The 15,144-nt window shown below is 42.8% G+C and overlaps 1 annotated feature.

Annotated features, from left to right (window-relative positions):
• Positions 14,063 to 14,804: an enhancer, noted in NCBI's record as "NANOG-H3K4me1 hESC enhancer chr1:91589111-91589852 (GRCh37/hg19 assembly coordinates)". NCBI's record gives its function as "activates a minimal SCP1, AML or CMV promoter by ChIP-STARR-seq in primed H9 embryonic stem cells {active_cell/tissue: H9 hESC(primed)}" and the evidence as "EXISTENCE:reporter gene assay evidence [ECO:0000049][PMID:30033119]".

The following is a 15,144-nucleotide window of genomic DNA, read 5'->3' as shown; positions in this document are numbered from 1 at the left end:
AGTTTGGCCCTGTGAGTATTACTTTTGTGGATAGAAGATGGAAGACCATAGTTATGTGCTTCATATGTTGTAAGGGAGAGGATTCATAGTGAACTTGCTCTTTTTTTCTTTTGTTTTTTTTCTGTTTTTGAGACAGAGTTTTGCTGTTGTTGCCCAGGTTGGAGTGCAATGGTGCGATCTCAGCTTACTGCAACCTCTGCCTCGCGGGTTCAAGAGATTCTCCTGCCTCAGCCTCCCGAGTAGCTGGGATTACAGGCATGCACACCACCAGCATGCGGGCGAATTTTGTATTTTTAGTAGAGATGGGGTTTCGCCATGTTGGTCAGGCTGGTCTTGAACTCCTGACCTCAGGTGATTCACCTCCCTCGGCCTTCCAAAGTGCTGGGATTACAGGCGTGAGCCACCGCACCCGGCCTTATAGTGATCTTTCAAGCACTATCCTGGAATGATATCAGAGATTTTTAGAAACTTGTTTTACCTATTCCTACATCAACAAGCTGCTGCCCAGTGTCCACTCCATCCCTAGCCCTTTAAATGGGGTAGGCCTACTTACATAGGAAGTACCTAAAAAGCAGCTTTGGTCCACAGCTCCAATAACAGCTCTCCACCTACACTGACTTCCAGCTGGCCTTCCATAATCCCTTGGCTTCATTCTCTAGTTCCCATCACTTGCCCCAGGCCATCTTCCCCTTTCCCATGACCCACTCTGCTGTGGCTCAGCAGCTGCTGCTCAGACAAAGAGGTGCCTTCTCTGCTGGCTGTAATCACCAGCACCCCTTACTCTACCCACTGAATACTCCATCCCTTACCTCAACCCTCAAGAGAGGAGATTCATGATGCAGGGCAAAGTGGAGGATTGCCTGTAATGAGCTTTTGGTTTGGACTATGGCTAAGGAACCAATATATTCTACTTATCTGAGAGATTTGTTGTGAGGACTAAATAATATATGTAAAGTGCTCTGAATAGCTTATTTATTTATTTATTTATTTATTTATTTATTTATTTATTTGAGATGGGGTCTTGCTCTGTCATGCAGGCTAGAGTGCAGTGGCATGATCACAGCTCACTGTAGCCTCCAACTCCTCGGCTCAAGAGATTCTCCCTCCTCAGCTTTCTGAGTAGCTAGGACTACAGGCATGTGCCACTATACCCAGCCAATGTTTTTACTTTTTGTAGAGATGGGATCTTACTAGTTGCCCAGGCTGGTCTTGAACTCCTGGCCCCAAGGGATCCTCCTGCCTCAGCCTCCCAAAGCACTGGGATTACAGGCATGAGCCACTGTGTCCAGTCTAAAAATTAATGTATATATTATTATATTTCGCCATTTGAAATCCTCTTGGCAATCTCCTGAGCTGCTTATCCTTTTAGAGCAGGATCTGCTGTGTGCTGTAGTCCAATTTATGCAGAACAATTATATTACCAAGCAATGAGCACAAAACATTACATTTCGAAAAAGCATAGATGTTACTAATAATAGCTAGCATTTATTGAGAGTTTTAAAAATATCAGACCCTATGCTAAGTGCTTTGTAAATTTTATCTAATTTAGCCCTCATGAAGCATGTTTCCCCATTATCCCCACTTAATTAATGAAGAAACTAAGGCACAGAGAGATTAAGTAATTTACCCAAGGTCCCTTGGTCAGAAAGTATCAAAGTCAGTATTCAAACCAGGGTGTCTCTTCTACAGCCTCAAATTTCTGCCATTAACACTAATTAGACTAACCGCTAACCAATGGTCTTGAAGATTAACTTGCCCCCACTGGCTCGTTTTACAGATGGAGAAACTGAAGCCCAGGCAAGTGAAATGATTTTACCTAGATTGCAAATACTGTTAAAGCACAACAAGGACTAGAACCAGGACACTGCTTTCATTTCAGGGGTTTTCTATTATACTTTATAAGTGTATTAGGGTTCTCCAGAGAGACAGACCAATAGAAGATAGGTGATAGATAGATAGATAGATAGATAGATAGATAGATAGATAGATATGGATGCAGATTGATATAGATATGAGTTTATTAGGAAGAACTGGCTCACACAATTACAAGGTGAAGTCCCAGGATAGCCGTCTGCAAGCTGAGGAAACGAGAAGCCTCAAAACCAGGAAGCCAACAGTGTGGTCTGCAGTTAGTGGTGAAGGCCTACGAACCTCGGCAAGCCACAGGTGCAGTCCCAGAGTCTAAAGGCCGAAGAACCTGGAGTCTAGATGTCCACGGGCAGGAGGAGAGCAAGCAAGCGTCCAGCTCGGGAAGACAGCAATCCAGAAGATGCAGCAAGCAGGTTGATCCCCCTTCTTCCCCGGCTTTGTTCCAACCGCGCTTGCAGCCGATTGGATAGCGCCCACCCACATTGAGGGTGGGTCTTCCTCTCCCAGTGCACCATTCAAATGTCAATCTTCTCTGGAAATTCCCGCCCAGACACACCCAGATACAAGACTTTACCAGCTATCTAGGCATCCCTCAATCCAGTCAAGTTGACACCTAATGTTAACCATCACAATACGTTTATATGTTTCTATCTTTTAGGCCACTTTTATTAGCATCTGCAGAAATGCTATCTTCAGATAACAATGAAAACCAGGTTCATTTTGCTTGAGGGAGTTGTTTCTTCTTTTCATTTGTCAAAGCCAGCTTCCATATTCAGATATATGCTCAAAACTTGGAGAAATTACGTACTTTTCAGGAATTAATTTCTTTCTTTCTTTCTTTTTTTTTTTTTTTTTGAGATGGAGTCTGTCTGCCACCCAGGCTGGAGTGTGATGGCACGATCTCGGCTCAATTGCAACCTCTGCCTCCCGGATTCAAGTGATTCTCCTGCCTCGGCCTCCTGAGTAGCTGGGATTACAGGTGCCCGCCACCACGCCTGACTAATTTTTGTATTTTTAGTAGAGACGGGGTTTCACTACGTTGGCCAGGCTGGTCTCGAACTCCTGACCTCGTGATCCACCCGCCTCGGCCTCCCAAAGTGCTGGGATTACAGGCGTGAGCCACCGCGCCCGGGCTTAGGAATTAATTTCTTAACCTTTTCCCGCTTAGGAAAAAGAAAGTGCAGCTCGCTGCCAGCGCTCATTTAATTTTACATAAACACACTCTTTGAGGCTGAAGCAAGTTCGACTAATTTTCAACGTGAAAATAAAATATAATAACTTTTATTGGAGTTCTTTCTAAACAGAACTAACATCAAAATCGTCTATTTTGGAAAAATCAGATTCACAAAATGAATCTTCCATCAACAACCGTTCAAGAACAATGTTAACATCAAGTGTAGAAATGCTATGTTTTCTAGGATTTGACATTTTTAGCGATTGAGAATCACTATATTTTGCAAATGGAAATACTACTGCTAAAAACAGAATGCTATAAATAGAACGATGTCTTTTGTTTCCAAAGTCATATACTAGAGCGATAGTAAAATAATATTAAAACCTAGATATTTCGTGGCAAAGTTATCTCAGGGTAAATGGAGCAGCCTCAAGTGTCACGGCAAGAATTTTCAGGGAAGACGAGATAAGGGTTAGTATATTATACGTGGTGGTTGAGTTTGATGAGTCGTTTCTAGATTATGAATTTCAGCAAACAATAAAATTTCAAAAAACTTGGAGATGACACAGAATTGCCAACTTTTTGTTTTTAAAGGTAGAGATTTTTAAAAATCCACGTACAAAAAATAAAAACTAAAAACAAACTACCATCTAGATACTATCTTCATTCTGTAATACAAGGAATATTTCAGCACCAAAAAACTAGGATGACCATAATATTAGAATAAAAGATAAATCATTTAAAATGAATAAAATGTATTGCACGGAAAGACAAAAAATTGTTAATTGTTTTCATCATGGACCAGTGGAAATTTCGTCATGGATTGGCATTTGAGAATCTGCGTTAGATGACCGTCGAGGGTCTCTCCAGCTCTTAAACTCTGTGATTTTGAGTATCATTTCTTCCTTTACAATGATTTTAGAGGTTTCCAGTTGTTGAGTCTTTGTAAATTAATCCTTCTTAGGCTTGTCCTTAAAGGCTTTGCTGTGTTGTGTGTGGAATGACTACTGGAGATTTTACAATTAGAATAACAACACATGTGTGGACATATAATTAATTATCTGTGCCCCTTCTTAACACTTTGTAAGACTTCAGCTTCCCTCATCTCCACTCCAGAGAAGCAGAGCAATGAATCTGAACTCTGACCTCTCCCGTCTCCCCAGACTCCTTCAGACCATGGGAGTCAGGCAGAAGCTGCAACTAAAGATTCGCTTCTCTCCTGAGAGACCTCTGAGATTTGACTTCTCCTGTCCAGGGTCTAACTAGAGAATTTTGCCAACCCTTGGACTTAGAGGGAGAAATTCCTTAAGGAAGGACTACCTGATCCCATGTAACAACCTAGAGGAAGAGAAGAAATCTGGCCCCAGGCCCCTTTTGCATTTGTCCCTTCCAAAATTCACTTCTTTGTTTTCCACTTCATATTGCCATGTCGTGCCTATGTGTGTATTTGGGGCGAGAGGTGGGGATGGCAAGAGGAGGTCAGAGGATGCCAGGACTAGAGCCTAAATGCATTGAGGGCAGAGGTTTGTCCACTCTGCCTGTGTAACTCGAGCAATTTGCCTGGCCATAGCAAGAGCTTCGCAAATGTTTGCGAAATAAATCAAGTATTAAGCACATAAATTGAATAGCAACAACCCTTATTGTGTGACTACTAGTGCCAGGCACTGTGATCGACGCTTTACAGAAACTATTTCTACTTCTCACTAGAACTCTATTTGGTAGGTGCATCATTGTTCCTCTTATGTGGACAAGGAAACCGACGCACAAAGTGGTTAAGGAACTTTGGCCAAAGTAATAAAACTAGTTTAAAAGACAACCAAATCATATAACATTTTCAGTGTGCTGAGCTGCAGAGCCTGCACATAAGTTCCAGGAGAAAAAGGAGGGGAAAGGTGGCCGGCATGTTCCTCCAAGGGCTTAGCAAATCTCCTTTCTTGGCCAAGTCTCTGCATAGGCAGAGAGGCAATTGTGTCATCATCAGAGAGGACGGAATCATTGACTTTCTTTTTTTTCTTTTCTTTCTTTCTTTTTTTTTTTTAATTATACTCTAAGTTCTGGGATACATGTGCAGACTGTGCAGGTTTGTTACATAGGCATACATGTGCCATGGTGGTTTGCTGCACCCATCAACCTGTCATCTACATTAGGTATTTCTCCTAATGCTATCCCTCCCCTAACCCCCCAGCCCCCAACAGGCCCCGGTGTCTGATGTTCCCCTCCCTGTGTCCATGTGTTCTCATTGTTCAACTCCCACATATGAGTGAGCACATGCAGTGTTTGGTTTTCTGTTCTTCTGTTAGTTTGTTGAGCATGATGGTTTCCAACCCGACCTATCTCTCTGGCTGCCCTTAACATTTTTTCCTTCATTTCAACCTTGGTGAATCTGATGATTATGTGTCTTGGGGTTGCTCTTCTCAAGGAGTATCTTTGTGGTGTTCTCTGTATTTCCTGAATTTAAATGCTGGCCTCTCTTGCTAGTTTGGGGAAGTTCTCCTGGATAATATCCTGAAGAGTGTTTTCTAACTTGGTTCAATTCTCCCTGTTACTTTCGGGTACACCAATCAAACGTAGGTTTGGTCTTTTCTTATAGTCCCATATTTCTTGGAGGTTTCATTCGTTCCTTTTCATTCTATTTCCTCTAGTCTTGTCTTCATGCTTTATTTCGTTAAGTTGATCTTCAATCTCTGACATCCTTTCTGCTGCTTGATCGATTCGGCTACTGATACTTGTGTATGCTTCATGAAATTCTCATGCTGTGTTTTTCAGCTCCATCAGGTCATTTATATTCTTCTCTAAAGTGGTTATTCTAGTTAGCAATTCCTCTAACCATTTTTCAAGGTTTTTAGCTTCCTTGCATTGGGTTAGAATATGCTCCTTTCGCTCGGAGGAGTTTGTTATTACCCACCTTCTGAAGCCTACTTCTGTCACTTTGTCAAACTCATTCTCTGTTCAGTTTTGTTCCCTTGCTGGCGAGGAGTTGTGATCCTTTGCAGGAGAAGCAGCATTCTGGTTTTTGGAATTTTCAGCCTTTTTGCACTGGTTTTTCCTCATCTTTGTGGATTTCTCTACCTTTAGTCTTAGATGTTGGTGACCTTCTGATGAGGTTTTTGTGTGGACGTCCTTTTTGTTGATGTTGATGCTATTCCTTTCTGCTTGTTAGTTTTCCTTCTAACACTCAGGCCCCTCTGCTGCAGGTCTGCTGGAGTTTGCTGGAGGTCCACTCCAGTCCCTGTTTGCCTGGGTATCACCAGTGGAGGCTGCAGAACAGCAAAGATTTCTGCCTATTCCTTCCTCTGGAAGCTTTGTCCCAGAGGGTCACCTGCCAGATGCCAGCTGGGGCCCTCCTGTATGAGGTGTTTGTCAACCCCTGCTGGGAGATGTCTCCCAATCAGGAGGCATAGCGGCCAGGGACCCACTTGAGGAGGCAGTCTGCCCCTTAGCAGAGCTCGAGCGCTGTGCTGGGAGATCCACTGATTTCTTCAGAGCTGGCAGGCAGGAACATTTAAGTTTGCTGAAGCTGCACCCACAGCTGCCCCTTCCCCCAGGTACTCTGCCCCATGAGATGGGAGTTTATCTATAAGCCCCTGATTGGGGCCATTGCCTTTCTTTCAGAGATGCCCTGCCCAGAGAGGAGGAATCTAGAGAGGCAGTCTGGCTACAGTCTGGCTACAGGTCGAATTTCCCGGGCTTTGTTTACACAAAAGGGAAAAACCGCCTACTCAAGCCTCAGTAATGGCAGATGCCCCTCCCTGCACCAAGCTCAAGCATCCCAGGTTGACTTCAGACTGCTGTGCTGGCAGCAAGAATTTCAAGCCAGTGGATCTTAGTTTGCTGGTCTTCATGGGAGTGGGATCTGCTGAGCTAGACCACTTGGCTCCCTGGCTTCAGCCGCCTTTCCAGGGGAGTGAACGGTTCTGTCTCGCTGGTCTTCCAGGCTCCACTGGAGTATGAGAACAAACTCCTGCAGCTAGCTTGGTGTCTGCCCAAATGGCCGCCCATTTTTGTGCTTGAAACCCAGGGCCCTGGTGGTGTAGGCACCCAAGGGAATCTCCTGGTCTGCGGGTTGCAAAGACCATGAGAAAAGCATAGTATCTGGGCCAGAGTGCACCATTCCTCATGGCACACTCCCTCATGGCTAGGGGAGGGAGTTCCCTGACCCCTTGCACTTCCCAGGTGAGGTGACACCCCACCCTGCTTTGGCTCGCCCTCCATGGGCTGCACCCGCTATCTAACCAGTCCCAGTGAGATGAGCCGGGTACCTCACTTGGAAATGCAGAAATCACCCGCCTTCTGTGTTGATCTTGCTGGGAGCTGCAGACCCGAGCTGTTCCTATTTGGTCATCTTGCCAGCCACCCTTTTTTTAATTTTCTATTTTTGTAGAGACAGGGTCTTGCTGTTTTGCCCAGGCGGGTCTTGACTCTTGGCCTCAAGCAATCCTCTTGCCTTGGCCTCCTAAAGTCCTGAAATTACAGGTGTGAGTCACTCAGCATGACTTTCTTAGACTGTCTGAATGCTCTTCATTTTTCTAAGCGCATTTAGAGCTATCAGAAAGAGACAGGTAGAGCCCAAACTATGACCAGCTTTCCTGACAGCCTATCTGGTGCTTTAATCAACCTTCAGAGACCAGCAAAACCTGGAAAAGCTCATTGTACCTATTAGAATAGGCAAGCTGCTACCACCACTACCACAACTATTTAATTAAAATATCAGTAGCTTAATACAATACGAATTTATTTCTCATTTACATCACAGTCTTATGTAGGGAAGAGGGAAAGAGGGGAACCTCTTCTCTTCCCTCTGGGCTGGCCCTCTCTTAGGCTGTTAGTGTCCTTGGTATTCTATTTCACCAGGAAATGAAAAAGAGAGAGCCAGGATTATACCGGGAGGGTTTTACAGGCCAGGACTGAAAGTGGCACACCTCACTCCCACCCAAGTTCCATTGTCCAGAACTCATTCTGGTGGCTCCATCTAATTGCACGGGAGGTTGAGAGAAGTTGTCATACTGTGTGCTCAGGAAGAAGAGCCCTCATAGACATTTGTCAGTTCTAGAAGTCTATTCCGGGACAAGTTCTAGAAGTCTATTCCAAGACAAGTTCTAGAAGTCTATTCTGGGACCAGTTCCCAGATTGCAATTTTGTCCTGAGCATACTATGAGCACTTGAACTTTAAGTCGCTATAACATATTTATTTAAATATAACTTTCTTTGACGTTCACTGTAATTAGCATGCTTGCAGACAAGGGAGAAAAGGAAGGGGGCAGTGGCAGTGTCAAGCAGCTAAACAACTTTACGTGGCTCTTCAGGGCTTCTTGTCCTGCTTTTGTTGTTTTGTTTCATTTTTGTTTTGCTAATATTTATTGTATGCTTACTACTTGCCAAGTACTATACTAAGCATTTGGCACGTGTTATCTGTGCTAATTCTCATAGCAACTCTGAGAGGCAGGTACTATTATCATCTCCATTTCCCAGATATGAAAACGGTAGCTTAAAGGCATTAAGAGACTGACCTAGGTCACAAAACCAGGAAATGTGAGATCTGAGATTTTAACCTGGGTCTCTCCCATACCAGATCCTATGCTGTCCACTCCATTATCCTCTGACTGGCAAAATTCTGGCCAGAGCTGAAACCCAATTACAGCGTGGGACAGTTCTCTGAAGTTTACACACCTCTGAAGTTTAACCTCCATTTGTTGACATGTTGAGGCAAAGGTCACAAAGTGTGCTCCTCTACTAATAGAAGCTGCGGGGGATACTGACTCCCACCAGCATTCTGACCAAGTGAAGACATCAGCATTGCTTCAACTCTTCCTTGAGTGTAGAACAAGTTATTTTATGTACATACATCTTTGGTCTAAGTTTAGAGACTAATTTCACCCAAAATGAAATAATTTATGTTCAGTCAAATATCTTCTAAATAATTTTTAATTCACTGGGATATTTCAAAAGGAATACTGTAGCAGTTCTCTTAACCACCATGGTTACAGGCTAGTCAGATCTTACATTACACACTTTTAAATACTTAGAATGCTCTGAGATTGAAGCATGGGATCAATTAGGGAAAACTGACTAAAGGTTAATTTCACAGAGCCCTGAACTGATGCTCTGCTGTCCTGGCAGCTCGATGGTCTAACAAGCTGAACTGCTTTGACTGTCTAAACACCATTAAAGTATAACTGGTTGTGTACCCACCCCACCATTAGAGAGTAGCTTAAAAAACCTTATTAGAGGAAGCCATTGGGTAGGAGGCTGGGGAGCAGAAGGGGGACATAGGGGTCTGTAAGCTATTGAACTCTGATTGAACTATAAACAAGGGCTTATTATAAGCACCACTCCCAGTACTGTCAGCATGTGATCTCCTTTGGGAGTTTCACCGTAAGCAGAATGTAATCGCACATCTGTCTTTCTAGGGCATCATGCCACTCCACTTGCCTCTTATTCAAGTAACCGAAAGGTGTGAACAACTGATTTTGAGATCCTGGTGCTTTAAAAGTAGATTGTGCAAAGAGCCCCCAAGCAGCACAAGGCTGAGACCACTCTGGGATGGTCCCATGGCTCAGGACGCAGACTGGGAGCTGGTTCCAATCCCATGCACTCTTCTCTAGCAGTGACAGCCATCATGGCCATGGGCTGCCATATGTTAATTTTCTAGGGACTCATCACCTAGTTTTTAACTTGTCCCCATAGAGGAAGGGGGAGCCCCATGAATACCTGAGTGTCCCGCTCCTTGTCTAGCCCAGTAGTTCTGTTTCCTGGCTGCATTTCAGAATAACCTAGGGAACTCTTAAAATACTGATTCTTGGGCCCCTCCCTCAAGAGACGGTACTTTTTACAAGCTCCTTGGGAGGACCTAATGTGCAGCCCATGTTGAGAACCATCGGTGTGGCCCCCCTCCTTTTCTGTTTGGGTGATTCTGTAGCAGATGGAGTGATTTGGTCCTGCTGGACATCTTGGATATGGAAAATGGAACAGAAGGAGGTGAGTCTGAGAACTGCTAACTGTGACCAAGAGCAACCATTGGGTAGTCCAACATGCCCAATTTTATTAATGAACGGGGAACATGGTGGTGGTGATAATCCTGGGTTTTCAGCTCCCAACACAAGGCCTTTGCTTTTCCTTCTTCCTGTCACATTGCCTTACTTCTTGCCACATGACAATTTAATGAACATTTATTGAATGTCTTCTATATGCCAGGCACTGGGCTGGGCACCGTTAGGAAAAAGAAAGGAAGAGAAAGACATGATCCTTATCCTCAAAGAACTTACTAACCTTCGCTAGGGAAAGCAAATGCAGTGGTATGGAAATCAGTTTCCTACTTATTTACAGCTCCTATTAAAGGTTCCATAGGGTGAGATAAAAATGTCAAATTTTACAACATTTTGAAGGATTATTGGTGCTTTGCCCCATTATAGAAGTAATAAAGAGTTATCAATATCCCTTCTCCAGATCCATTCACATATGTGGCACACATACACACACACCTTCCAAAACAGGAAAGAGCCAAACATATATATTTTACACACCAGTCACAGGCCTGCTATCTTTTTTTATACAGACCTGTTTGTAGAAACACCTGGGTGAGCTAAGTTTAAGCAAGGCCCCAGAGTCCCTCTAGTTAGTCCCAAATTAACAAGAGCTTCCCACTGAGCTCATTAGGCCTTTTCAGAGGACCATTCCAGACCCCTACATTTATTCAAGATTTGAGTCCTATTATGCACCAGACACCATCCTAGACACTGGAAATGGAATAGTAAGCCAAAAAACCATCTCTACTCTAGTGGTGCTTAAAATCTAGCAAGGAAAATAGATATCAATTTAAAATTACTGTTGCAGTAAGATGTACATAAGGCATGTGAGAATGTTAAAGGGGGAACATAGGAAGTCATGGAAGGACCCCTGAGAAGTTGATCATGAACCCAGGCTCTAGGGCACAGAGCGTGATGGCCTGGTGAAGAGGGTGGGAGTGGGGCACATTCTAGTCAGAAGGAACGGTGTGAGTGAATTAGTGAGAATGGGTTGGATTGGTGATTCTCAAAGTGATCTCAGACCACTGGGAGTTCCAGAGATGCCTTCAGAGGTTTTGTATGGTCAAAATTGTTTTTTATAATGACACTAAGATGTTACTACCCTTTTCATTTGATTACATTTGCACTGATGATATAAAAGCACTGGTGGGTAAAACTTCTGATGCCTGAGCACTAATCAAACTGTACTAATTGTCATTGTATTTGTATTCTTTACTCCATGCACTTCAGGAGAAAAACAAAAAAACAAAACCTGTTTTACTTTAAAACGCCTTTGACTAAGTGTAAAAGTTATATCTTTTATTAAATCACTACCCAGGAGTGTAAAAGTTATTTCTCTTATTAAATCACTATCCAGGAGTACACATCTGTTTAATATTCTGTGTGACAAATGAGAAGTATGCATAAAACCCTCCTACTGCATACCGAACTATGATGGTTGTCTTGAGGAAAAGCACTTGTTTGATTTTTTCAGTTGCAAACAGAACTAGCTGCTTTTATCATGGAATGACATTTTTACTTGAAAAAACTGACAAACTATAGTTATTCAAACTTGGGTAGCTGGCAGACATTTTCTTGAAAATGAATAAAGTGAGCCTGTCACTTCAAGAAAAATGACTGACAGTGTTTGTTGCTAAAGATAAAATGCAAGCTTTCAAACAAAAATTGGAATGTTAGAAAACTTGTAGCCACCACTATCAGCTAGACAGCTTCCAGTACTTAAAGACTCCAATAAGATTGATGGTGATATTAATTAATGTGATTTTTTTAAATATTGTATAAAGAAATATGTTAACATTTGGAAGATCTGTGTAACTCAGTGAACTAGTCTTCTCCAAATAACCCATCATAAGGTTATAAGACCATGTATGGGTAAAGGATCCTTTCAAAGTGCAAGAGAGCCTAACAGATTTTAATGTAGCAGAGTATCAAAAGTTCATTGACATGATTTCAGATTCTACACTGTAACTAACTTTTAAGAAACTACCACTTGGGCCAGGCATGGTGGCTCACACTTGTAATCCCAGTACTTTGGGAGGCCGAGGCCGGAGGATCACCTGAGGACAGGAGTTTGAGAACAGCCTGGCCAACATGGCAAAACCTGTCTCTACTAAAAATACAAAAAAATTAGCTGGGCATGGTGGTGGGCGCCTGTAATCCCAGCTACTCAGGAGGTGAGGCATGAGAATCGATGGTACCCGAGCAGCACAGGTTGCAGAGAGCCAAGATTCCAGCCTGGGCAACAGAGAGAGACTCTGTCTCAATAAAAAATAAAAATAAATTTAAAAAAAAGGACAAAAAAAAAAGAAAAGAAAAGAAAAAAGAAATAAAAAGAAACTACCACTTAAAGAGTTTTGATGTAGTGTCTAAAAAGAATATCCACGATTATCAGAAGAGGATACTAAAATACACTTCTTTTCAACTATGTTATCTGTGTGAGGCCAGATTTTCTTCACATATCTCAACAACAAAAACAACAACAAAACAGACTGCAACTGATTAAATGCAGAAGCAGATATCAGAATTCAGCTGTCTTCAATTAATCCAGAGATTTGCAAAAATATAAAACACTGCCATGAGTTTGTTTTGGCAGCTAGCTGTTTTTCATAAAAATATTTAGGTTAAACTGTAATTGTTTTATTATTGTTATTTTAAAATTAATATATACACATCTTAAAATTTTCTCAGTTTTGATTTCTGATATGGAAATATTGATGGATGTAACCCACATAAACCAAAGCTCTTTGGGATCATCAATAAATTTTAAGAGTTTAAAGGGATCCTGAGACCAAAATGTTTGAGAACTACTGGGATAAATTATTTTGCAGTAACAAAGTTGTCTTGAATTTCAGTGGCTTAACACCACAAATGTTTATTTCCCACTCATGCACCATCAAGCAAGTTTCTAAAGACAGCTGTCCTCCATGTGCTGACTCAGCAATCCAGGTTACTCCATTGTGCGGTTCTGCTGTCTCAACACATGGCCTCTAGGATTGCAGCTGCAGAAGAGAAAGCTGGAAGACGGCACACCACTCTTCAATATTCTTCTGTGTGTCACTGCCACTCACTGCTCACTTGGCAGAACTGGTCACATGGCCCCACCCAACTGCAAGTGGGCTAGAAAATGTGAGACAGTTTGTGAATATTTGGTGAGCCACAAATGGCTGGAAACACTATGTGCAAAGAACTTGTGGTGAGAAACTGTAGTTCGATTGAATGAACTAATAGAGCACATACAGTGAGATAAGATGTAATGCAGAAAAAGGCTGAGGAGACCTCTAGGGCCAGATCATGTAGGCTGGTCTCATAAGCTGTGGTAAAGATTGTGGGCTTTTTCAGAGCAATGGGAAGACAATGAATGGTTTAAACAATTGGTGACAATGATCAGCTTTATCTTTGGATAGATCACGGCAGCTGTGGAGTAAAATGTAGGGGGATGGGAGTGCACATGGTGAAGTACTGTGCTGACAAATCAGATCTTCAGGGAAAACCCAAACGCCTTGACTCATGGTGCTTGCCAATTTCTGTAGTGTAAATATTTCCACCATGGCTAATTTCAAGCTTGCAAATTTGATGTCACTGAACACTATGAAGAGGCATGCACAATTAGCTGTTATGAGCCATTAAAGCAGGCTTCAGTGCCCCGGAGGCAAGAAAACTATTTGGGAGGCTACTCCGGACATAAGACATTTGTAGCTTAAACTTTCCTCTCCTTTGAGCATACAGCTGGAGCTAACTCCAGCATTTAGTCACAAACTTCATTACAGTGACTAAAACCCCTTGCCTACACCACAAATACAACCACCACCAACACTGCATATCATCAGGATTTTTCCTGCTATTGCTATAATATATGAAGGTGAGAGGTGTGGCTCTCTCCCCACTTGCATCCACAGTCTTGCTTCCAGTCCAAAAGACATGGGCCTATTTCCGGTAAGGATAGGCAAAGAGATTCTCTTCCACAATTAGCTCATCTTCCTAGCGTCACATTTGCAAACACCTCAGATATTCTGGCATAATATTTCTCCTCAACTCTTCCAAGAAGCGGGCAGCCCAGAAAGCTGCTAGAAAGGCCTTGTTTGGGTTTTCAACCACTCCTGATTTACATGAAAAGATTCACAAGAATCAAAATGGTTACAGGCTCTACAACTACAGGTTATACTAAAGACTTTGCAAACTTATGAAGGGGTGAAACCTTGGCTTTTGCTAGCTGGCTCAAAATGGAACCAGATGACTGTCTGGCAGGGATGAGAGATTGAGCTAGAGTGCCTACTCAGGGCGCTTTTGCTGAAGTTACCAGGTATCCGAGGCTTGCAGCAGCAGACAGCCATGACCTTTGTCTACTCGACCTCAGATTTAGCTAGTTTACCCAGGCTCTTTTTCCTTCTTCCTCCCCGTGGCTCAAGTTTCCAGTGCAAAATAACAGCTTATATATACCTGAAGTGGTGCCTGGGGTGCTGCTATTTAAATAATTCTGCCTCTAAATACAACAGGTGTCCCTCACAATGTAGCTCCCAAATTTTAACTGTTTTGTATTTTTCTCCAGAGAGCCATAGGGATTTTTTTAAAATGGCTTGTCTGGCTCAGATAATAATCCCTTCTTTTTTCTCTCCCTCCCTCCTTTCCCTCCCTTCCTTCCTTCCCTCCTCCCTTCCTTCCTCTCACTTTCTCTTTTCCTTTTGCTTTTCTCTTTATATAAAGCCACAGGCTGTAGTCTTTCTCAGCTGCCTCACCTGTCCCTCCTGCTGATTCTGGAAGTCACTGACCCTTGGGCAGAGTGGGACATTGGTGTGCTGGCTCCAAAGTTCCCTTCTCCTGGCTCTGCCTGTTGGACAAACCTCTAAACAGAAAAACGGGACTCTAACCAGGTTCAGTTGTTGTATCTGCATCCTCAATCAAAGACCTCCCATAACCCATGTCACCAGACACCCAAGTAATCAAAGGGCAACAAAGGCAGATGCGGTAGGCAGATGAGGAAGAAAATCCACAAAAACCTGGATGCCATCAAATGCTAATGTTCTCTCTTGAAACAAATTACAAAAACGAGATTGAATAGCATGGACTTTAATATTCTGTTTT

This window comes from Homo sapiens, chromosome 1 (assembly GCF_000001405.40).
Source record: "Homo sapiens chromosome 1, GRCh38.p14 Primary Assembly".
NCBI lineage: Eukaryota > Metazoa > Chordata > Mammalia > Primates > Hominidae > Homo > Homo sapiens.
This window is presented reverse-complemented; position numbering and strand designations above follow the sequence as displayed.